This window comes from Homo sapiens, chromosome 4 (assembly GCF_000001405.40).
Source record: "Homo sapiens chromosome 4, GRCh38.p14 Primary Assembly".
Lineage (NCBI taxonomy): Eukaryota > Metazoa > Chordata > Mammalia > Primates > Hominidae > Homo > Homo sapiens.
The window spans coordinates 83011716-83034075 of NC_000004.12; the positions used below are offsets into that span (position 1 = coordinate 83011716).

Below are 22360 nucleotides of genomic sequence, written 5' to 3' on the forward strand. Positions count from 1 at the left end.
CAGTTGAATAAGTAACCAAAAGAGAACAGAGGTAATTCTTAATCATTTAAAAAATAACAAAACATAAGCTGCAAGGCTTCTGAAGAGATCAGCATTAAAAAAAAAAAAAAAGGAAACTGGCTGCCTTTGTCAATTTTAGAAAGAGTTAACCATCCAAAAGCTGAATTCTGTATCATTCAACCACAACATAAGCTCTGGGCAAACTGAATTTCAAGGCTGCGAACAGGGCCACTCTACTGTCTAAGTTAGTGTAGGAAGAGTAAGGTTGAAGTTGAAGTTGAAAAAGTCATTTCATTTCCCTACCTTGTTTCAATGGCAACTCCATATAAAAGTCGGTAGATTCAGCCTTCAACAAGGGCTGTCCACCACCCACCCCAATTGCTGTTTTTATATGCAGACTACCAGATGCTGAGAGTATAAAGTGTTCTCAATTACTTCATCTTTAAACTTCATTTCCCCACTGACGGCCCCGTCCATCCGCACTCTGCTTGGTTGTTTACCGTTGCTGGCCAAGCTAAGTCCCGGCCCGCTCCCTTCCCCCGTGCACCTCGGGAACATTATGACATTTGGCTGGTGGGCTTCGCGAGGAAAACGGACACGCACGAACAAGAGCCTGTACAAAGGGGCATAGGAAGAACGCGGCGGCGGGCAGTAGGGAGAGGAGGGACTGGCACAAAATGACACAGCAGCAAAACCGGTTCCCAGAAACCTGGGGCCGCCACGGGTGGCTTGTTGGGTCGCGCAGTGTGCGTGTCAACAGCCGCAGGAGCCCTTACTCCAGACCGCCGGGCAGGCGGCTGGCCGAGCGCTGGCCCTGCCGGGTGACAGCCACCCTCTCGGGAGCCGACGGGAAGAGACCGAGCCCCAAGGATCCTTCGCCCCCCGCAACCCAGCTTCAGGGAAGGGGCGCGGCGGACCCCGCTGGCGGGTTCCCGCTCCCCGCCAAGGCCCACCGGCCCGGGCTCCCGGAGGGAGCGGTCCAGCGCTCTCCGCCCGCGCAGGCACTCGCAGCGGGGGCCGGTTCCCCCTTCCCGCCAGCCCGCCCAGGAGCCCCCATCCCGGGGGCTGACACTCACCAAAGCCGGCGGCGCCGCCGCCTCCTGGTCGCGCGGCGCTCCCTGGGCTCCCAGCAGCAGCGGCGGCGGCGGCGCCTCCGAGACACAGACCAGGGTTTGTTCAAAATCACGCGCCCAGCCCCATTCCACCGCCGCATCCCATAATACGCTGGGCCCTCCCCGCCCGCGCGCCCCTCTCTGCCCGCCCCTGCGCTCCGCACCCCGCCCCACGGCCGGCTTCCTTCGCTCCGCCTCTTCCGCGGCGCCTCGTCCCTCCCCTTGGCAACCCAAGCCCGCGTCATTCCGCCGGGCTCCGCCAGGGCGCTCCAGTTCCACGTGACGCCGAGTGGCGCCCGGTCAAAGCGATCGCACGGAATGTTCCATCGGACTGAAGCTGATGGGGGGAGGACCCGCATCGCGCTGCGGTTGGGAGAGACCGTCCCTTCGTCTAGCTTTCCTTGTTAGGAAGTCCGGGTTGTAGGTGCGACTTCCAGGATATCCCGCTGTTTGATGTGCTTGAGTGAGGAGGTGATCAGTAGTCACAAATGCCAAGTCACTGTGTTTTTAGGCACTAGTTTTGCAGTGTCGCTAAAAAGCCACAGGGAGATTCATTGAGAGTTAAACTTATTTTGAAAGACGTTTTGCATTTCTTGCAACACGCAGCTAAGACTAACACAGTCAAAATTATTTGTATTTAATCACCTTTTATTTTTTCCCGCGATTTATATGATATCCAAATACGGAGTCGGATGAACAGACGCTGACAGATCATTCTGAGGGGAAAAAAAAATTATTCTGAGAGATTATTATCAACTGCTGTGAGTGCGACAAGCACTACATATACGAAAATAGAAAATACAAGAGTGTAAATGTAAGATGGTGCGATACAGTGTATAATTTGCTAATGGAGTACGGAGGACATACAGGTCAGCATGAGAGACTACCTCGGGAACATAATGGAGGAGGTGAAACAGTGTAGGGGAGGCAGCAGTCACTTTGGAATCAAGCAGTACTGGTATTTAATGGCACCTCCGTTTATTAGTGTATATTGTATAACGTTTATTTTCCTATCCAGCAAATAAAAATAACAAAACTTCCCAGGATTCTGATGGTTAAATAAAATGAAGGGTGTTAAGCAGGTACACAGTCTCTGCCTGAAATGTTAGTTCCCTTGTGCCATAATCAACACCCAGTACCAGCCCAAACACTAATAGTCAGGATTTAACAAGGCAAATGTCATGAAATTAGCAAAGCCTTGAAAATGGGAAGGTCTGTGACATGTGTAAGTAATGTGATAAAGTTGAATGACACAAAGGCTTTGTTGGAGATCAGCATTGTGAGCCCACTTTATGAGGAACCTTGAGAGCTAGTGTGAGAAATCCTCATGGTAAAATGATTGATGGTGCTGTTGGGGCACCACTGGAAGGAAGAAAAGAATGAGATGGGGTACCCAAAACTGGCTAGATTTTAGAGAGACCAAAATATCTCAAAAAAAGGAGACCCTTTCCCAGTTTATTCCACAAGGCAGCATAACTCTTATACTAAAACCCAAGACAAACAGTACCCAAAAAAGAGAAGGGAAACTTCCTTTCTTGCTATGATTTTGTTATGAAGGCAAAATTGAGTATTTAGTTGTTATTGGTGCTGTGGCTCACACCTGTAATCGCAGGACTTTGGAAGACTGAGGCAGGAGGATGGGTTGAGACCAGGAGTTTGAGACCAGCCTGGGCAACATAGTGAGATTTCATCTCTACAAAAAAAATTTTTTTAAATAAAAAGAATTAAGAAGTTATCAGACCGGGCGCAGTGGCTCACACCTGTAATCCTGGCACTTTGCGGGGCTGAGGGAGGTGGATCACCTGAGGTCAGGAGTTTGAGACTAGCCTGGCCAACATGGTGAAACACTGTCTCTACTAAAAATACAAAAATTAGCCGGGCGTGGTGGCATGCGCCTGTAGTCCCAGCTACCCAGGAGGCTGAGGCAGGAGAATCACTTGAACCCGGGAGGCAGAGTTTGCAATGAGCCGAGGTCATACTACCGCACTCCAGCCTGGGCAACAGAGTGAGACTCTTTAAAAAAAAAAAAAAAAGATGTTATCAAATTCCAGCAATGTGGTAGTAAAAAGAATTTACATCATGACAAAGTATATGGTTTAACCGAAACAGTGATTTAACATTAAGAAATCTACTAGTGTAATTTATTAGATTGAAGGAGAAAAACCAAATGATAGTCTCTAGAGATACATTGTATAACATTCAATAACCACCCTGAATTTTTTAAATTCTTAGTAAACTAGAAATAAAAGAATGTTTCCTTAATTGGATCAAGATAATCATCAGAGAACAACACCATACATTTCAGTGAAATGGCAGAGGCTTTCACCTTAAAATCAGAAACTCAATAAGGAGGCAGGGATATAGTAGCTGTTTACCGTTTTTGAGTGTGTCCTAGCTAAGTTAAATAAGAAAAAATGAAAGAAGAGGTATAATATAAAGGAAGAAGGAGACTAAATGGTCCTTATTAAAAATAATCAGGCCAGGCACAGTGGCTCATGCCTGTAATCCCAGCCCTTTGGGAGGCCGAAGCAGGTGGATCACAAGGTCAGGGGTTCGAGACCAGCCTGACCAACATAGTGAAACCCCGTCTCTACTAAAAATACAAAAATTAGCTGGGCGTGGTGGCGGGCACCTGTAATCCCAGCTACTCAGGAGGCTGAGGCAGGAGAATTGCTTGAACCCAGGAGGCGGAGGTTGCAGTGAGCCGAGATCGCGCCACTGCACTCTAGCCTGGGCGACAGAGCGAGACTCCCGTCTCAAAACAATAAACAATAAAAAAAAATAATAATCATAGGGGCCAGGCGCGGTGGCTCACACCTGTAATCCCAACACTTTCAGAGGCCGAGGCAGGTGGGTCACGAGGTCAGGAGTTCAAGACCAGCCTGGCCAACATGGTGAAACCCCATCTCCACTAAAAATATAAAAATTAGCCAGGTGTGGTGGCCGGCGCCTATAATCCCAGCTACTCGGGAGGCTGAAGCAGGAGAATAGCTTGAATCCGGGAGGCAGAGGTTGCAGTGAGCTAAGATCACACCATTGCACTCCAGCCTGGGACAGAGCAAGATTCTGTCTAAAAATAAAAATAAAAATAAATGAAAATAAAAACAATCATAAAGAGTTATTTTTCCTATTTTTGTTTGGTTTTGTTTTTTGAGTCTTGCTCTGGCCAGGCTGGAAGGCAGTTCCTCGATCTCGGCCCACTGCAACTTTCGCCTCCCGGGTTCAAGTGATTCTCCTGCCTCAGGCAGAGTGCCAGGTAGCTGGGATTACAGGCTCGGGGGCCATCACACCCAGCTAATTTTTTTTTTCATATTTTTAGTAGAGATGGAGTTTCACCATGTCGGCCAGGTTGGTCACGAACTCCTGACCTCACATGAGCCACCCTCCTCAGCCTCCCAAAGTGCTGGGATTTCAGGTGTGAGCCACCGCGTCCGGCCTCATAAAGAGTTCATTTTAAAAGTCCTTATTGGCCGGGCGCGGTGGCTCACGCCTGTAATCCCAGCACTTTGGGAGGCCGAGGCGGGTGGATCACGAGATCAGGAGATCGAGAACATCCTGGCTAACACGGTGAAACCCCGTGTCTACTAAAAATACAAAATTAGCCGGGTGTGGTGGCGGGCGCCTGTAGTCCCAGCTACTCGGGAGGCTGAGGCAGGAGAATGGCATGAACCCGGGAGGCGGAGCTTGCAGTGAGCCGAGATCACGCTACTGCACTCCAGCCTGGGCGACAGAGCAAGACTCTGTCTCAAAAATAAATAAATAAATAAATAAATAAATAAATAAATAAATAAATGCCCTTATTAAAGATAATCATAAAGAGTTCAAAGTGTTACAGTAAATTGCTTGGCACCTGGAGCCAGACAGCCTGGGCTTAAATCCTGGCCCTCCACATAATAGCTCTGTGAACTTGGACAAGTTACTTTCCTCTTTATGTCTCAGCGTCCTTATCTGTAAATTGAGACTAGTGCATACATCATAAGGTTGTTGTGAAAATTAATGAGGTAATATGTGTAAAACACTGAGAACAGTGCCTGGCATATAGTAAGCACCCAATGTCTGAAAGCTATTAATAATCAAAACTAAATAGAGTCTGAATCTAATCTAATCTTTTACTTTTTTTTTTTTTTTTTTTTTGAAACAGAGTCTCGCTCTGTCGCCCAAGCTGGGAGTGCAGTGGCTCAATCTTGGCTTACTGCAACCTCCGCCTCCCGGGTTCAAGCGATTCTCCTGCCTCAGCCTCCCAAGTAGCTGGGACTACAAGCACATGCCACCACATCCGGCTAATTTTTTGTATTTTTAGTAGAGACGGGGTTTCACCGTGTTAGCCAGGATGGTCTCTAATATTCTGACCTCATGATCCGTCCGCCTCAGCCTCCCAAAGTGCTGGGATTACAGGCGTGAGCCACTGCGACCGGCCTTACTTTTTCAAATAAATCATTTTAGGTCAGATGCAGTGGCTCATGCCTGTAATCCCAGCACTTTGGGAGGCCGAGGCAAGCGGATCATGTGAGGTCAGGAATTCGAGACCAGCCTGCCCAACATGGTGAAACCCCGTCTCTACTAAAAATACAAAAAATTAGCCGGGCGTGGTGGTGCATGCCTGTAATCCTAGCTACTAGGGAGGCTGAGGCAGGAGAATCGCTTGAACCCAAGAGGCAGAGGTTGCAATGAGCCGAGATCCCACCACTGCACTCCAGCCTCGGCAACAGAGTAAGACCCTGTCTCAAAAAAATAAAAATAATAAAATAATAATAATAAAAAAAAAGCCTGGTCAACATAGCAAGACCTCGTCTTTACAAAATAAAAATTTAAAAATTAGTTGGCCATCGTGAAACATACCTGTAGTCCCAGCTACCTGGGGGCTAAGATAGAAGATTGCTTGAGCCCAGCAGTTTAAGTTTGCAGTGAACTATAATTGCACCACAGAACTCCAGCCTGGGCAACAGCGAGACCCTGTCAAAAACAAAAACAAAAAACCACCAAAAATCTCTGCTATTCAAACATCTATTTCAGAAGAAACTCTGTGCTTTGCATGTGCATGATGGTGTTTCCAGAAGAACTAAAAACATTTATTCAGCAAATATTTGTTGATTATCTACTGGATCCCAACGTCTGTGCAAGGAACTAAAAATTAAGTGGTGAACAAGACAGCACAATTCTGTCCAACGGAACATTCTGCAATGGTGGAACTATTCTGCACTATCTGATACTGTAGCCACTAGCTACATGTGGCTATCAAGCAACTGAAATGTGGCTAGCATGGCTAAAGGAACTGACTTTTTCGTTTTAATTGCCATTAATTTAAATTTAAATAGCCACATGTGGCTGAAGCGGTGGTTTACGTCCATAATCCCAGCACTTTAGGAGGCTGAGGCTGGAGGATCACTTGAGCCCAGGAGTTCAAGACCAGCCTGGGCAACATAGTGAGAAGCACTCTCTACAAAAAAAGTGATATAAAAAAATTAGCCAGGCATGGTGGCACATGCCTAAAGTCCTAGCTACTTGGGAGGCTGAGGTGAGAGGATCACTTGAGCCCAGGAGTTCAAGGTTACAGCGAGGCATGATCACACCATTGCACTCCAGCCTGGATGACAGAATGAGACCCTGTCTTTATAAAAAATAAATAGCCACATGTGCTAATTACTACAGTACTGGACAATTCTAGAAGATGTGCCAGACAATAAACAAGAAAAAAAATTAGAGCTTTTTAAAATAAACACAGGAAGTTTCTGAGGAAAATATTAATATTAAAAAAGACAGGAGGCCGAGCACAGTGGCTCACACCTGTAATCCCAGCACTTCAGGAGGCCAAGGCGGGTGGATCACCTGAGGTCAGGAGTTCGAGACGAGCCTAGCCAACATGGTAAAACCCCGTCTCTACTAAAAATACAAACATTAGCCAGGTGTGGTGGCGCGTGCCTGTAATCCCAGCTACTCGGGAGGCTGAGGCAGGAGAATCACTTGAACTCGGGAGGTGGAGGTTGCAGTGAGCAGAAATGGTGCCATTGCACTCCAGCCTGGGCGACAAGGGCAAAACTCGGTCTCAAAAAAAAAAAAAAAAAAAAGACAGGAGTATGGAGATATGAGTTGGGTAGAATCAACAGAAAAAAATAAAAATGTATTACTGGGTATCTATTATGTGCCAGGTATACTGTTAGGTACACAGTATACACTAATAAAATTTTCTTAAAATAGGTTAGTTTTCAAAAGATTATTCAGAAGGTCCTTTGTTCATGAGTTCATTTTTCATAAATCCCAGATGTCTCTAATACAAGCACTTAACATGTATAAGTAAGAGTAATTATCACCTTTCTTTTTCATTATGATATAACTCTTTTTACAACAGGCCCATAATTTCTTACCAATGATTTCAAAATCCAAGATGTTTTGAAAACTAAAAGGTTTCTGAAAGCTTATGGCAAGCTTATTTATTGGGAAAACCTGGCCCAATATGATATAAGGCATTAATATTCTTAATTCCATTTAGTGTCAATACTCACATATGTCAGTGTAGAAATCTCAGTGTGTTGCCGGGTGTGGTGGCTCACGCCTGTAATCCCAGCACTTTGGGAGGCTGAGGCGGGTGGATCACGAGGTCAGGAGATTGAGACCATCCTGGCTAACACGGTGAAACCCCATCTATACTAAAAATACAAAAAATTAGCCGGGCAAGGTGGCGGGCGCCTGTAGTCCCAGCTACTCAGGAGGCTGAAGCAGGAGAATGTCGTGAATCCCAGGGGGCGGAGCCTGCAGTGAGCCGAGATCCCGCCACTGCACTCCAGCCTGGGCCACAGAGCGAGACTCCGTCTCAAAAAAAAAAAAAAAAAATCTCAGTGTGTTTAATTGTGGGATTTGATTGTGACCAAAAGTATTGGAAGGAACTTTCTGGGGTGTTGGGAATGTTCTTGACCCTGATTGTGGTTGTACAAGGGTATACAATGGCCTAAATTCATTGGGTATACTTAAAATGGATGCATTTTAGCGTATGTAAATTATACCCCATTAAAACTGGTTTTAAGATTTAAAAAAAAATGAGAACTTTAAAATGGTTTCTGCATATTCTTCTCTAAAATCCAAAATATTTTCAATTCCAAAGCACATTTGCCCCCAGGGGTTTTGAATAAGGGAATGCAGACTGGTATCACTTTGAACATACCCCGAGTTTTTCACTTTGTATAATATAGTGTTATTAGTAATGTCAAGCCACCCAAAAAATAAAATCAACCACTAAAATAATCTGTTGATGGCAGGCAGGATTCATTTGCTTTTCCTCTCACAATAAGATTTCTTTGTCTATATAATAGAGGTTTCTGTTTGCTTGTTTTTCTAATTAGAAGGATAGAAGTAGAGGATTCTCTGTAATGTTCTGATGTACTTGGGCTGCTAGGGGTATAACCACTTCTGTGATTAGGAGTGGGTCCCCTTGAAGGAAGTAGATATGGTTAATGTCAGTCATCCTGAGAAGAGAGAAACACATTTTGAGATATGATACGGGAGCTCAGACTTAGAGAGGAAAATGGTTACTCTCTCTAGGCCTTGGTCATCTGGATCTGGACACAAAGCATTTAATGTGTTTGAAGGAATGTACCTATTTTTTTTTTTTTTTTAGTTTGCTAATCAGCTGAGTTGATAATGTGTCCATCTTTTTACCCAGCAGGAGAAGAAGATATCTACCCCTAAGGAAACTGGAAACTAGGTAGAGGTTTTATTACAAAACACCTTAAAATTCTTCATGGCTTATAAACACAAGCATTTATTTTTCTCATGAATTGGCTAGGTTCACAGATCTAGGCTGGGCTCAGCTAGGCCAGGTTAGAACCCAGACTTATGGTTGGGTTCCACATATCTTAATTCTGGGGCCCAAGCTGATAGGGCATTAGCAACCTGGGGTATGCTTTCTTCTAGTGGCTCCCAAGAACATAGCACTGAATAGAAATATGATGTCCTTTTTTTTTTTTTTTTTTTTTGAGACAGAGTCTCGCTCTGTTGCTCAGGCTGGAGTGCAGTGGTACAATCTCAGCTCACTGCAATCTCTGCCTCCTGGATTCAAGCAATTATCTTGCCTCAGCCTGCCAAGTACCTGAGACTACAGGTGTTCACCACCATGCCTGGCTAATTTTTTACTTTTTGTGGAGACAGGGTTTCACCCTATTGGCCAGGCTGGTCTTGAACTCCTGTCCTCAAGCAATCCACTTGCTGCCTCAGCCACCCAAAGTGCTGGGATTACAGGCGTGAGCCACCGAGCCTGGCCCATGATGTCCTTTTTAAGGCTACCGTATCCCCAACCAACTGGTGCACTGTAACTTCGGTCCACATTACATTGGCCAAAACAAGTCCTATGTCCAAAGCCCAACATCAATGAGGAGGAAAAATATATTCTTTCTACTCTAGTGAAAGGTACGGCAAAGGTACATGTGAAATGTGTAGATATATCATTCTAGCACAGAGAGGAAATAAAGATTTGGGAGCAATGATCCAAACTACAAGAGATAACTATAAAGACCCCTTGGATGTGTTGCACAATAGGAGAGGATTAGAGTACGTTAGCATCTTTTTTTTTTTTTTTTGAGACGGAGTCTCACTCTGTCACCCAGGCTGGAGGGCAATGGGCGTGATCTCAGCAACCTCCACCTGCTGGGTTCAAGCAATTCTCCTGCCCCAGCCTCCCGAGTAGCTGGAACTACAGGCATGTGCCACCACAGCTGGCTAATTTTAGTATTTTTAGTAGAGACGGGGTTTCACCGTGTTAGCCAGGATGGTCTCGATCTCTTGACCTCGTGATCTGCCCGCCTCGGCCTCCCAAAGTGCTGGGATTACAGGCGTGAGCCACTGCGCCCGGCCCAACATCTTAAACTCTCCATGAAAACACCCTTTTCTTTGACATAGAAAAGTAACTGTGGTCTTATGTAAATTGCTATGCCTGTATAGCATTAACTTTCTTATCCAATCAAACTGCTGCTCTTTGCTCCTCCAGTGTAAAAATTCTGGGGCCTGGAACTCACAAAGCTACCCACAAAACTCTCTGCTACATAATGGTAGCTTACTATCTGTAGTAACTAGGCTGCTTTCAGTAGCTTATACTTTATATCTCATAAAATGAATAGCATAGAAATGGCTTTTCTAAGATAATTCCACAGAGAAAAGATGTCATTAAAGACATTGACTTCCTTTGCATGCTACCATCCTCAAGACTTTCCCTTTATTCTTAGGCTTGCTTTCTCATGGTTATCATCTAGGATCATACATAGAAATACTACACACAGCCGGGTGAGGTGGCTAATGCCTAGCACTTTGGGAGGCCGAGATGGGCAGATTGCCTAAGCTCAAGAGTCTGAGACCAGCCTGGGCAACATGGTGAAACCCCATCTCTACTAAAATGCAAAAAATCAACAGGGCATGGTGGCGGTCACCTGTAATCCCAGCTACTCAGGAGACTGAGGCAGGAGAATTGCTTGAACCTGAGAGGCAGAGGTTGCAGTGAGCCGAGGTTGTACCATTGCACTCCAGCCTGGGCAACAAAGCAAACTCTGTCTCAAAAAAAGAAAGAAAAAATACTACACACAATACACAGATATCAGCCTCAGAGGAAGAGTATTCATCCCATGTGCTTCTTCCCATAAGCAAGTTAAACCTGTTCCCCAGAAGGCTTTCCATCATGATGTGCTGGTCAAACCTGGACCATATACTTGTTCTCAAACCATTCACTAGCCAGAAAAAGTGGCCTAGAGCAGGGGTCAGCAAAGGAAGGCCCACAGGCCAAATCCAGCTCATTGCCTATTTTTGTCCAGACTGCAAGCTAAGAATGTATGTGTTTTACATTTTTAAAGGATTATAGAGGAAAAAGCAATCGCAGCAACTGCTGCAGCTGTTGCAGCACTAAAGAGACCATATGTGGTCTAAATAAAAATTTTAGATTTTTGTCCAGCCCATAAGCTAAGAACATTTTTGGTTTTGATTTTTATACTTTATAAGGATTGTAGAAGAAAAAGAAGCAGCAGTCACAGAGACCACATGTGGCCTAAAGTCTACATTTTTTATTTGGCCCTTTATAGAAAATGTTTGCAGTCTCTGGCATAGACTGTCATGATTCATCTGGGAGGTGAGGAAAGACCATTAGAAGCACTGGGTCAGCCACATCATATATGTGTAATTTCCTTTTGCTTTCCCCAACCCTGAGGAAAATCTTAACCATTGCTGAATGATCCTGTTTGATATGGTTAGGCTTTGTGTCCCCACCCAAATCTCATCTTGAATTGTAACCCCCATAATCCCCACGTGTCAAGGGAGAGACCAGGTGGAGGTAATTGAATCATGGGGGCAGTTCCCCCATGCTGTTCTCATGACAGTGAGTGAGTTCTTATGAGATCTGATGGTTTCATAAGAGGCTCTTCCCCCTTTGCTCAGCATTTCTCCTTGCTGCCGCCTTGTGAAGTAGGTGCTTTGCTTCCCCTTTGCCTTTTGCCATGATTGTAATTTTCCTGAGGCCTCCCTAGTCATGCTGAACTGAATAAATGAAACCTCTTTCCTTTATAAATAACCCAGTCTCAGTCATTAGAGAAATACAAATGAAAGCCACAATGAGATACCATCTCATGCCAGTTAGAATGGTGATCATTAAAAAGTCTGGAAACGACAGATGGTGGTGAGGATGCAGAGCAAGAGGAATGCTTTTACACTGTTGGTGGGAGTGTAAATTAGTTCAAACATTGTGGAAGACAGTGTGGTGATTCCTCAAGGATCTAGAACCAGAAATACCATTTGACCCAGCAATCTCATTACTGGGCATATACCCATAGGATTATAAATCATTCTACTATAAAGACACATGCACACATATGTTTATTACCGCACTATTTACAATAGCAAAGAGTTGGAACCAACCCAAATGCCCATCAGTGTTAGAGTGGACAAATAAAATGTGGCACATTTACACCATGGAATACTATGCAGCCATAAAAAAGAATGAGTTCATGTCCTTTGCAGGAAATGGATGAAGCTGGAAACCATCATCCTCAGCAGACTAACTCACAAACAGAAAAGCAAACACTGCATGTTCTCACTCATAGTGGGAGCTGAACAATGAAAACACATGGACACAGGGAGGGGGACATCACTGTGTGATGTGGGGGGCAAGGGGAAGGATAGCATTAGGAGAAATACCTAATGCATGTAGAGCTTAAAACATAGACGATGGGTTGATAGGTGCAGCAAACCACCATGGCACATGTATACCTATGTAACCAACCTGCACGTTCAGCACATGTATCCCAGAACTTAAAGTAAAATTTAAAAATAAATAAATAACCCAGTTTCAGGCAGTTCTTTATAGCAGTATGAAAATGGACTAATACACTGTTATTTACTGCTGCTTAGGTAAATTAAAGGAAAAGTTAATGTCTACATGTGTGTCAGAATGTTATGAGAGAGGTGTGGCCATTAGTTTCTGTTTATGAGGGCAATAATGTTTAAGTGAATAATCCCCAAATGGAGGGGACATCTCAAGGGAGAACCATCAGAATGTAAGGTCCAGAAGCCTTCCCTTCCACTGCTAGCATGTCACTCCATTACCTTCTGAGGTGTATAATTTGTGACCAGAAGTCTGTTGTAATTCCTCTGTAAGTAATGTGCCTTTTTTTTTCTTTTTTCTGGCTGCCTTTAGGATTTTCTTTTTGGCTGGACACAGTGACTCATGCCTGTAATCCCAGCAATTTGGGAGGCTGAGGTGGGCGGATCACTTGAGGTCAGGAGTCCGAGACCAGCCTAGCCAACATGGTGAAACCCCATCTCTACTAAAAATACAAAAATTAGATGGGCATGGTGGTGGGCACCTGTAATCTCAGCTACTCAGGAGGCTGAGGCAGGAGAATCCCTTGGACCTGGGAGGCAGAGGCTGCTGTGAGACGAGATCATGCCATTGCACTGCAGCCTGGGTGAAAAGGGCAAGACTCCATCTCAAAAAAAAAAAAAAAAATTAACTGGGTGTGGTGGTGCACATCTGTAGTTAGTCCTGGCTACTCAGGAGGCTGAGGCAGGAAGATTGCTTGGACCCAGGTGTTCGAGGCTGCAGTGAGCTAAGAAGGTGCCACTGTATCCTCATCTGGGAGGAAGAGTGAGACTCCATCTCTTAGAAAAAAAAAAGATTTTCTCTTTATCTTCGGTTTTCAGCAATTTAAATATTATGTGCCTATGTGGGTGTATATGTTTCATCCTTCTGGAGGTTCTATGAGATTCCTGGATGTGTGGTTTGATATCTTTCATAATTTTTGGATAATTATTTGCTACTATCTCTTCAAATCTTTTTTTCTGCATCATTTTTTCTCTCTTTTCCTTCTTGGATTCCAATTATACGTATGTTGAATCATTTTGTTCCACAGCTCTTGGAGATTCTTTCTTAGTCTGTCTTAGTATCGCTATAAAGAAATACCCAGCCAGGCACGGTGGCTCACACCTGTAATCCCAGCACTTTGGGAGGCCAAGGTGGGTGGATCACGAGGTCAGGAGATCAAGACCATCCTGACTAACACAGTGAAACCCTGTCTCTACTAAAAATACAAAAAATTAGCTGGGCATGGTGGTAGGTGCCTGTAGTCCCAGCTACTTGGGAGGCTGAGGCAGGAGAATGGTGTGAACCCGGGAGGCGGAGCTTGCAGTGAGCTGAGATTGTGCCACTGCACTCCAGCCTGGGTGACAGAGCAAGACTCCATCTCAAAAAATAAAAGAAATACCCAAGGCTGGGTAATTTATAAAGAAAAAATGCTTATTTGGCTCACAGTTCTGCAGATTGTATAAGAAGCATGGCACCAGCATCTGCTCCTGGTGAGGGCTTCAGGCTGCTTCTGCTGATGGAAGAAAGGGGAGGGAAGCTAGCATGTGCAGAGATCACATGGCAAGAGGAGACACAAGAGACTGAAGGGGGGAGGTGCCAGGTTCTTTTTAACAACCAGCTCTAATGGGAACTACTAGAGCAAGAACTCACTCATTACCATGAGGACACCACCACACCAGTCATGAAGGATCTGTTCCCATTAGGCCCTGCCTTCAACAATGGAGATCAAATTTCAACATGAAGTTTGAAGGGGTCAGATATCTAAACCACAGCACTATCCCTTCTCTATCTGCTCTCACTTTTCTTTTTTTTTTTTACTTTAGTTCTTTTAGTTTGGGCTCTTTCTATTGACCTATTTTTAAGTTCCCTGATTCTTTCTTTGGCTGTGCTGAGTCTACTCATGAGCACATTGAAGACATTCTTTGTCCCTGTTAACAAGTCTTTTTATTTTTAGCATTTCCTTTTTACATTTTCTTTTCATTTCTGCCCTCTTTTTTTTTTTTTTTTTTTTTTTTTTTTTTTTTTTTTTTGAGACAGCGTCTCGCTCTGTTGCCCAGGCTCCAGTGCAGTGGTGCGATCTCGGCTCACTGCAAGCTCTGCCTCCCGGGTTCATGCCATTCTCCTGCCTCAGCCTCCCAGCAGCTGGGACTACAGACACCCACCACCACGCTTGGTTAATTTTTTCTATTTTTAGTAGAAACGGGGTTTCACCGTGGTCTCGATCTCCTGACCTTGTGATCCGCCCACCTCGGCCTCCCAAAGTGCTGGGATTACAAGCGTGAGCCACTGCGCCCGACCTCTTCCCTCTGTTTTAATTCCTCATCTGTTCATTCATGCTGTATACATTTTCTTTCTTTTTTTTTTTTTTGAGACATGGTCTCACTCTGTTGCCCAGGCTGGAGTACAGTGGCACAATCATGGCTCACTGCATCCTCAAACTTTCTGGGCTAAGAGGGTCCTCTCACCTCAGCTTTCCAGTCCCAGCTGCTAGCTGGGACTACAGGCACATGCCACTACACTGACTAAATTTTTTGTGTGTATTTTTTGTAGAGATGGGGTTTTGCCATGTTTCCCAGGTTGGTCTCAAACTCCTGAGCCCAAGCAATTCACCTGCCTTGGCCTCCCAAAGTGCTGGGATTACTGGTGTGAGCCACAGCCCCTGGCCTATATTTTTAATTGAAACTTTAACACAGTATCATAATTATCTTAAATTCCCTGTTGGATAGTTCCAACATCTTTGTTTTTCATTTTTAGAGACAGAATCTCACTCTGTTGCCCAGGCTGGACTGCAGTGGTATGATCACAGCTCACTGCAGCCTCAACCTCCTGGGCTCAAGCTATCCTCCCACCTCAGTCTCCCGAGTAGCTGGGACTACAGGTGCATGCCACCATGCCTGGCTAATTTTTGTGTTTTTTTGTAGAGACAGAGTCTTGCCATATTGCCCAGGCTGGTGTCGACCTCCTGAAATCAAACAATCTGCCTGCCTCCGCCTCCCAAAATGCTGGGATTACAGGCATGAGAAAAAAAGCTTGGGGCATCTAAGCAAAAAGAGTAAGTGACTTATAAGAGAAAGAAAATAGAGTGCAGTAGCTCATGACTATAATCCCAGCGCTTTGCGGGGCTAAGGTGGGAGAATTGCTTGAGCCCAAGAGTTCAAGCCCAGACTGGGCACAAAACAAGACCCTATTCTTACAAAAAATTTAAAGAATTAGCTGGATATAGTGGCCAGTGTGCCTGTAGTCCCAGCTACTTGGAAGGCTGAGGTGGGAGGACTGCTTGAGCCCAGAAGTTCAAGGCTGCAGTGACTATGATCATGCCACTGCACTCATATAATGCTATTATTTGAATGTTTATCCTTTCCAAAACTCATATTGAAACCTAACCCCCAATGTGGCATTATTGAGAGGTGGGCCTTTAAAAGGTAACTGAGATCATGAGGGGTCTGTCCTCATGAATGGATTAATACATTAATGGGGTAATGCCTGGGTGACAGAGTAAGACCCTGTCTCTTAAAATACTGAGAGATAGAAAATTAGACTCTCATCAGATATTTTGATGCTTTATGCCAAAAAAAAAATGAAGAACCACACTTAAGATTCTTAAGAAAAGTGAATCAAAGTTTATTATATCCAACAAAACTGATAACAAACATAAAAGGCACAAGATGTTACCAATACTCAAGAACATGCAAGAATATGGATTCTGAGTCCTGCCTGAACAATCTATTAAAGAACTAGCTTCTTTAACAGAAAACCAAAGACTAGAGATATATCAATAAAAGAGCTGATGGTGCACATTCAATATGTAGTGCTTACTGACCTAAGAATACATGAAGATTAGCTGGGCGCGGTGGCTCACGCCTGTAATCCTAGCATTTTGGGAGGCCGAGGCGGGCAGATCACGAGGTCAAGATCGAGACCATCCTAGCCAACATGGTGAAACCCTGTCTCTACTAAAAATACAAAAACTAGCTGGGTGTGGTGGCACGTGCCTGTAGTCCCGGCTACTCAGGAGGCTGAGGCAGGAGAATTGCTTGAACCTGGGAGGTGGAGGTTGCAGTGAGCCGAGATCATGCCGCTGCACTCCAGCCTGGTGACAGAGTGAGACTCCGTCTCAAAAAAAAAAAAAAAAAAAAAAGAATACATGAAGATTAAAAGGAAGAAAATAAGGCCAGGTGCCATGGCTCACACCTGTAATCCCAGCATTTTGGGAGGAAAGGCAGGTGGATTGCTTGAGCTCAGGAGTTCGAGACCAGCCTGGGCAACATGGTGAAACCCTGTCTCTACAAAAAGTTGAAAAATTAGCCAGGCATGGTGATGGGTGAGGCATGCCTGTAGTCCCAGCTACTCAGGAGGCTGAGGTGGAAGGATCACTTGAGCCCAGGTGGTCAAGGCTACAGTGACCTGAGATCATGGCACTGCACTCCAGTTGGGACAACAGAGTGAGATCCTATCTCAAAAAATAAGAAAAAGGAAGACAATACAGTTTGTAATGGCTATATGTGCTTACAATATGGCTATTATAATACGAAATGTGGGAAAATATTTAACTGTTATCAGTAATCGTATTGGGGGTGGTAGTATAAGTATTATTATTCTGAGGCTGTTGTGTGTGTAATGTGGATGAATAAAATGAGTAATTATGTAATATTCCTTATGTGCTGTGAATCAGGATTCTGGGTGTGGAAATAAGGAGATACAGATGTAATATAGAAGAGGTTTAAGTAAAACAACCTAAATTGGAATTATCAGTATGCCCTCATTAATCACTTCACCCTTAAAATACATACATATTTCCTAGTTCTGTCCTACAAAAAAGGTCTCCAAATGACTGATATAGTAGCAACGAGCATTCTTAGCACTTGGACTGTTATTTATAATTATCATCCCCACTAAAAGGAAAAAGGCTTCTTGGAGAAATGACCGATTCTAGATCTAGGCAGGAAACACACCAGATGACTGTAAAACCAACTGTCACACAGCACTAGCAACACATGGAGTAAGCATAGAGGAAGGATTCACGTGCAGAAAACAGCACAGTACTGTATGGACAATCACTTATGCTCTTTTCCCTTCTGTAGTGAGGCATATTTGGGCTGGGCACAGTGGATGTATAGTAGAATATGTGTCAGGAAAGAGGCTTCTGGATAACTTTTTTATCTTTGTAGGGAAGCTGTGAGAAGGTAGAGACCATCTAGTAGACTGCAACAACAGGAGATTCCTGGCCAAGGAAACGGCCTTGTTAGCGGGGGTAATTTATACAATGCTATTGTTTGAATGTTTATCCCCTTCAAAACTCATGTTGAAAGTGATTCCCTAATGTGACATTATTGAGAGGTGGACCTTTAAGAGGTGACTGGATCGTAAAGGGTCTGCCTTCATGAATGGATTAATCCATTAATGAATTAATGGATTTATGGATTAAAGGGTTCCCATGAGAGTTGAAATGGTGGCTTTATAAGAAGAGAAAGAGAGACCAGAGCAAGTATGCTTAGCCCCCTCACCCTGTGATGCCCTGTACATCAGCAAGGAGGCCCTGATCAGATATGGCTCCTTTACCTTGGACTTCTCAGCCTCCATAACTGTAAGACATAAATTCCTTTTCTTTATAAGTTACCCAGTTTCAGGTATTCTGTTATAAGCAGCAGAAAACAGACTAAGACAAATACCAATGGTGTTGACATCTGCTAGATCTTCTCAAACTTTAACATGCAAGGATTACTAGGATTTTGCTAACATGACGGTTTCTATTTAGTTTGGGCTAGAATTGAAGATTTTGCATGGTAAAAGAAGAGCTAGGATTTGTGCAGTTCCCTTGAGTTCATTAAGATGTGTCTTGCTAACCTCTTGCTAAATAACTGAAAAGGAGAGAATAAGCCTCCAGGGCCATCCAGGTTTGCTTTTCTTCACTGTTGTAAGTAAAATCTAAAAATATGTAATATTCTGTTAGAGTCAGGGCAAGGGGAATGAGCAGTCTGGAAAGAGAAGTCCTTTGTAGGTCAAAATATTTAGTAAAATTGCTGCCTCCAACAATTAGGAAAGCAGGAAATCTTCCCCAGCTTGTGGCTAATGGAAGTATCTGAAAAGGGCCAGCTTGTGTATGTGGCTTTTTGTTGCCTTGGGTAAGGTGTTGCAAGTCAAGTGTGAAGTCAAGTTAAGAAGGGAATGAAATGTCCAGAAATTCTGAGCCTTCACTAAGTTGAAAAAGCCAACTGTTTATGTATCTTGAAATAGCAGAAGAAAAGACTTGGCTTACAGATTTTTCATAGCCCTTTAAGACTTCTTGGCAAACACAACCAACCAACCAAACAAACAAAAACAACAGAAAATAAAAATAAGCTAAAGCCAAATCAAATGGATAGAGTTCTCTTCTCATTTAAGCCTACTGTTTCAGATTATTTCACAGCTGCCACCATTACAAAGAGGGCATTAAAAATAGGTTGAGCAAAGAAGCTAGGATTTAAGGCAAGTTTGATAACTGCTTCGAGAAATAACTTTGGGTGTGTTTACTGGCATCTGAAACTGTCTGGAAGCACGTAGAACTTATTGAATATTCAATGGAATTATTTAAAAAAAAAAAAAGCAAACACCCAAAAAGCCTGGCCTACAAAAGCCCTCAAGTGTTCAAGCACTAAGGCATTCTCAAAAAGGAAATATACTCAACATCCAGTTAACTTGTATTCAGAAGGTAAAGCTTGCACCCACACAATACAACAAACAATAGAAATCCTCTCAGCAGAACCAAGGACTGACCAAGGAACTTATTCCATTATCAGGGCAGTGAGTATCCATACTTCCTTCCCAGGATTCTGCCATTGTTACGGGCCAGTAACTGCTGTGTTTCCCATTCTTCCTTTGTCTGAGTTTTAACTGTGATTGGCCTGTTTCTGCTCCACTGTTGGTTTTTATTGGATGTATGGGCATAGGACACATCAGTTGTTTTACAGTGTATACATCTCTGGAACATGAAACACCACATCCCAATGTGATAGGTTTCTGCATCACCAGATATCCTGAATTTTTAGCTGATGTAGAAAATGAATGGGAAATTGAGCTTTCTTCCCTAGGGAGGGAGGAAGGAGGCTCTACTGTGAGAAGAAGCTATATTATTCAGGGTTCTCCAGAGAGACAGAACCAATAGGAGATATATATATATATATAAATAATGATATGAGAGGGGAATTATTAGGGGAATTGGATCTTGTGATATGTGATTGTGGGGGCTGAGAAGTCCCACATCAAGCAGTCTGCAAGTCAGAGACCCTGGGATTCTGGCAGCATGGCTTAATCCAAGTCCGAAAGCTTGAGAACCCAGGGCGCTGCTGGTGTGAGTCCTGGAGTCCAAAGGTCGGAGAGCCTGATGTCCAAGGCCAGGAGAAGAAGTGTGTTTCTCAGCTTCAGGAGAGAGAGACCAATTCACCTTTTCTCTGTTTTTGTTTTGTCTGGGCCCAGCTAACTGGATGGTGCCTGCCCACACTAAGGGCAGATCTTCTTCACTTAGTCCACTCAGACTCACATGCCAATCTCCTCTGGAAACACCCTCACAGACACACACTAATATAATGCTGTAACAGTTAGTTTTCTTGGTATTCCTTAATCCAATCAAGTTGATACCTAAAATTACCATCAAAGGACATGTGGATATTCAGGTGGTCAGAGGGACATATTGTAGTAGAGACTGCTGATTGTCCCTCTAAACTCATTCTTTCCTATTTCTGGGCACAAGGCTGCCCAACTGGAAATTAAATTTCTAGTCTCATTGGTGGTCATATGATTAAGTTCTTGCCAATGGAACATGATCCGAATTGATGTGGGCAATCTCCTAACTTTCTGATATGGTTTGGCTCTGTACCCCAACTCAAATCTCATGTTGAATTGTAATCCCCAGTGTTGGGGAAGGGACCTGGTAGGAGGTGATTGGATCATGGCGGCAGATTTCCCTCTTGTGTTCTGGTGATAGTGAATGAGATCTCATGAGATGTGGTTGTTTGAAAGTCTGTAGCACCTCCCGCTTTGTGTTCTCTCTCTCTCCTGCCTTCATGTGATGACATACTTTCTTCCCCTTTGCCCTTCCACCATGATTGTAAGTTTTCTCAGGCTTCCCCAGTCATGCCTCCTGTAAGGCTGTGGAACTATGAGTCATTTAAATCTCTTTTCTTTTTTTTTTTGAGACGGAGTCTCGCTCTGTCGCCCAGGCTGGAGTGCGGTGGCACGATGTCGGCTCACTGCAAGCTCCGCCTCCCGGGTTCACGCCATTCTCCTGCCTCAGCCTCCCGAGTAGCTGGGACTACAGGCGCCCGCCACCACGCCTGGCTAATTTTTTTGTATTTTTAGTAGAGACGGGGTTTCATCGTGTTAGCCAGGACGGTCTCGATCTCCTGACCTCGTGATCCACCCGCCTCGGCCTCCCAGAGTGCTGGGATTACAGGCGTGAGCCACCATGCCCGGCCTAAATCTCTTTTCTTTACAAATTGCCCAGTTTCAGGTAGTTCTTTATAGCAGTGTGAGAACAGACTAATATACATTCTTTTTTTATTTATTTTATTTTTGAGATTTCACTCTGCCACCCAGGCTGGAGTGCAGTGGCACGATCTCAGCTCACTGCAGCCTCCGCCTCCTGTGTTCAATCGATTTTCCTGCCTCAGCCTCCTAAGTAGCTGGGACTACAGGCACCCGCCACCACGCCTGGTTAATTTTTTGTGTTTTTAGTAGAGAAAGAGTTTCACCATGTTGAGCAGGCTGGTCTCGAACTCCTGACCTCAGGTGATCCACCTGCCTTGGCCTCCTAAAGTGGTGGTATTACAGGCATGAGCCACCACGCCTGGCTGAGAACAGACTAATACACATTCTTAAAAGGGATTCCTTCTTCAGGTATTCTTCTCTTTCTCTTTCCCAATAGAGGGAATATGCCATTTATCACACATCAAGATGGCAAAAATCCAAAAGTTTGACATCCTTTGTAGTCAAGGCTGTAGGAAGCTGCACCCCTATATATTTCTGGTAGGAAGGCAAAATGATACCATTCCTATAAAATGCAATTTGGCAATATCTACCAAAATTGTATGTCTATCCTTTGCCTCATTTCTGGTAATGTGTTCTACCTGTACATATATAATGTATGCAAAGGTTATTCATCGCATTGATTAAAAATAACATGTCCTATAAGGATTAAATAAACTAAGGCATACTCTCACTGTGTAATATCCTCTAGCTCCAAAAAGAGTGATTTTGAAAGACTGGACAGCTGGTAAGATGTCCAGCTGTCTTAGTCTGTTTTCTGTTGCTTATACCAGAATACCTGAAACTGGGTAATTTATAAAGAAAAGGAATTTATATCTTAGAGTTATGAAGGCCAAGAAGTCTAAGGTCAAGGGGCCACATCTAATGAGACCCTTCTTGCTGGTGGGGACTTGCTAGAGTTCAGAAGCAGCACAGGGTATCACATGGCAAGGGAGTGACCTTCCTAACATGCTAGCTCAGGTCTCTTCCTCTTCTAATAAAGCCACATGTTCTCTCCCATGACAACCCATTAATCCATGAATAGATCAAGGGTTTTGCCCTCATGATCCAATCACCTATTTAAGGCCCACCTCTAAATACTGCCACATTAAAGATGAAGTTTCAACATGAGTTGTTTGTTTTTTTTTTTTTTTTTGAGACGGAATTTCCCTCTTGTTGCCCAGGCTGGAGTGCAGTGGTGCAATCTTGGCTCACCGTAACCTTCGCCTTCCAGCTTCAAGTGATTCTCGTGCCTCAGCCTCCCGAGTAGCTGAGATTACAGGCACGTGCCACCACACCCAGCTAATTTTTGTATTTTTAGTTGAGACGGGGTTTCTCCATGTTGGTCAGGCTGGTCTCGAACTCCCGACCTCAGGTGATCCGTCCACCTCGGCCTCCCAAAGTGCTGGGATTACAGACGTGA

At 44.2% G+C, this 22360-nt stretch overlaps 1 protein-coding gene across 3 annotated transcripts in view, besides 5 other annotated features; it reads right to left on the reverse strand.

Moving 5' to 3' along the window:
• The window catches only part of LIN54 (lin-54 DREAM MuvB core complex component), an 88339-nt gene extending 87113 nt beyond the window's left edge, over window positions 1–1226 (reverse strand). For all 3 annotated transcript variants that reach the window (NM_001115007.3, XM_017007728.2, NM_001437261.1), the window contains exon 1: window positions 1077–1226. The gene's annotated coding sequence lies outside the window, so the exon portion shown is untranslated. The remainder of the gene's footprint in view (window positions 1–1076) is intronic.
• Window positions 922–1251: a silencer, noted in NCBI's record as "silent region_15538". NCBI's record gives its function as "represses an Ori minimal core promoter by ATAC-STARR-seq in GM12878 lymphoblastoid cells {active_cell/tissue: GM12878}" and the evidence as "EXISTENCE:reporter gene assay evidence [ECO:0000049][PMID:35858748]".
• Window positions 922–1814: a biological region, named in NCBI's record as "NANOG-H3K27ac-H3K4me1 hESC enhancer GRCh37_chr4:83933797-83934682".
• Window positions 929–1814: an enhancer, noted in NCBI's record as "NANOG-H3K27ac-H3K4me1 hESC enhancer chr4:83933797-83934682 (GRCh37/hg19 assembly coordinates)". NCBI's record gives its function as "activates a minimal SCP1, AML or CMV promoter by ChIP-STARR-seq in naive H9 embryonic stem cells {active_cell/tissue: H9 hESC(naive)}" and the evidence as "EXISTENCE:reporter gene assay evidence [ECO:0000049][PMID:30033119]".
• Window positions 1422–1551: an enhancer, noted in NCBI's record as "active region_21669". NCBI's record gives its function as "activates an Ori minimal core promoter by ATAC-STARR-seq in GM12878 lymphoblastoid cells {active_cell/tissue: GM12878}" and the evidence as "EXISTENCE:reporter gene assay evidence [ECO:0000049][PMID:35858748]".
• Window positions 14065–14174: an enhancer, noted in NCBI's record as "active region_21670". NCBI's record gives its function as "activates an Ori minimal core promoter by ATAC-STARR-seq in GM12878 lymphoblastoid cells {active_cell/tissue: GM12878}" and the evidence as "EXISTENCE:reporter gene assay evidence [ECO:0000049][PMID:35858748]".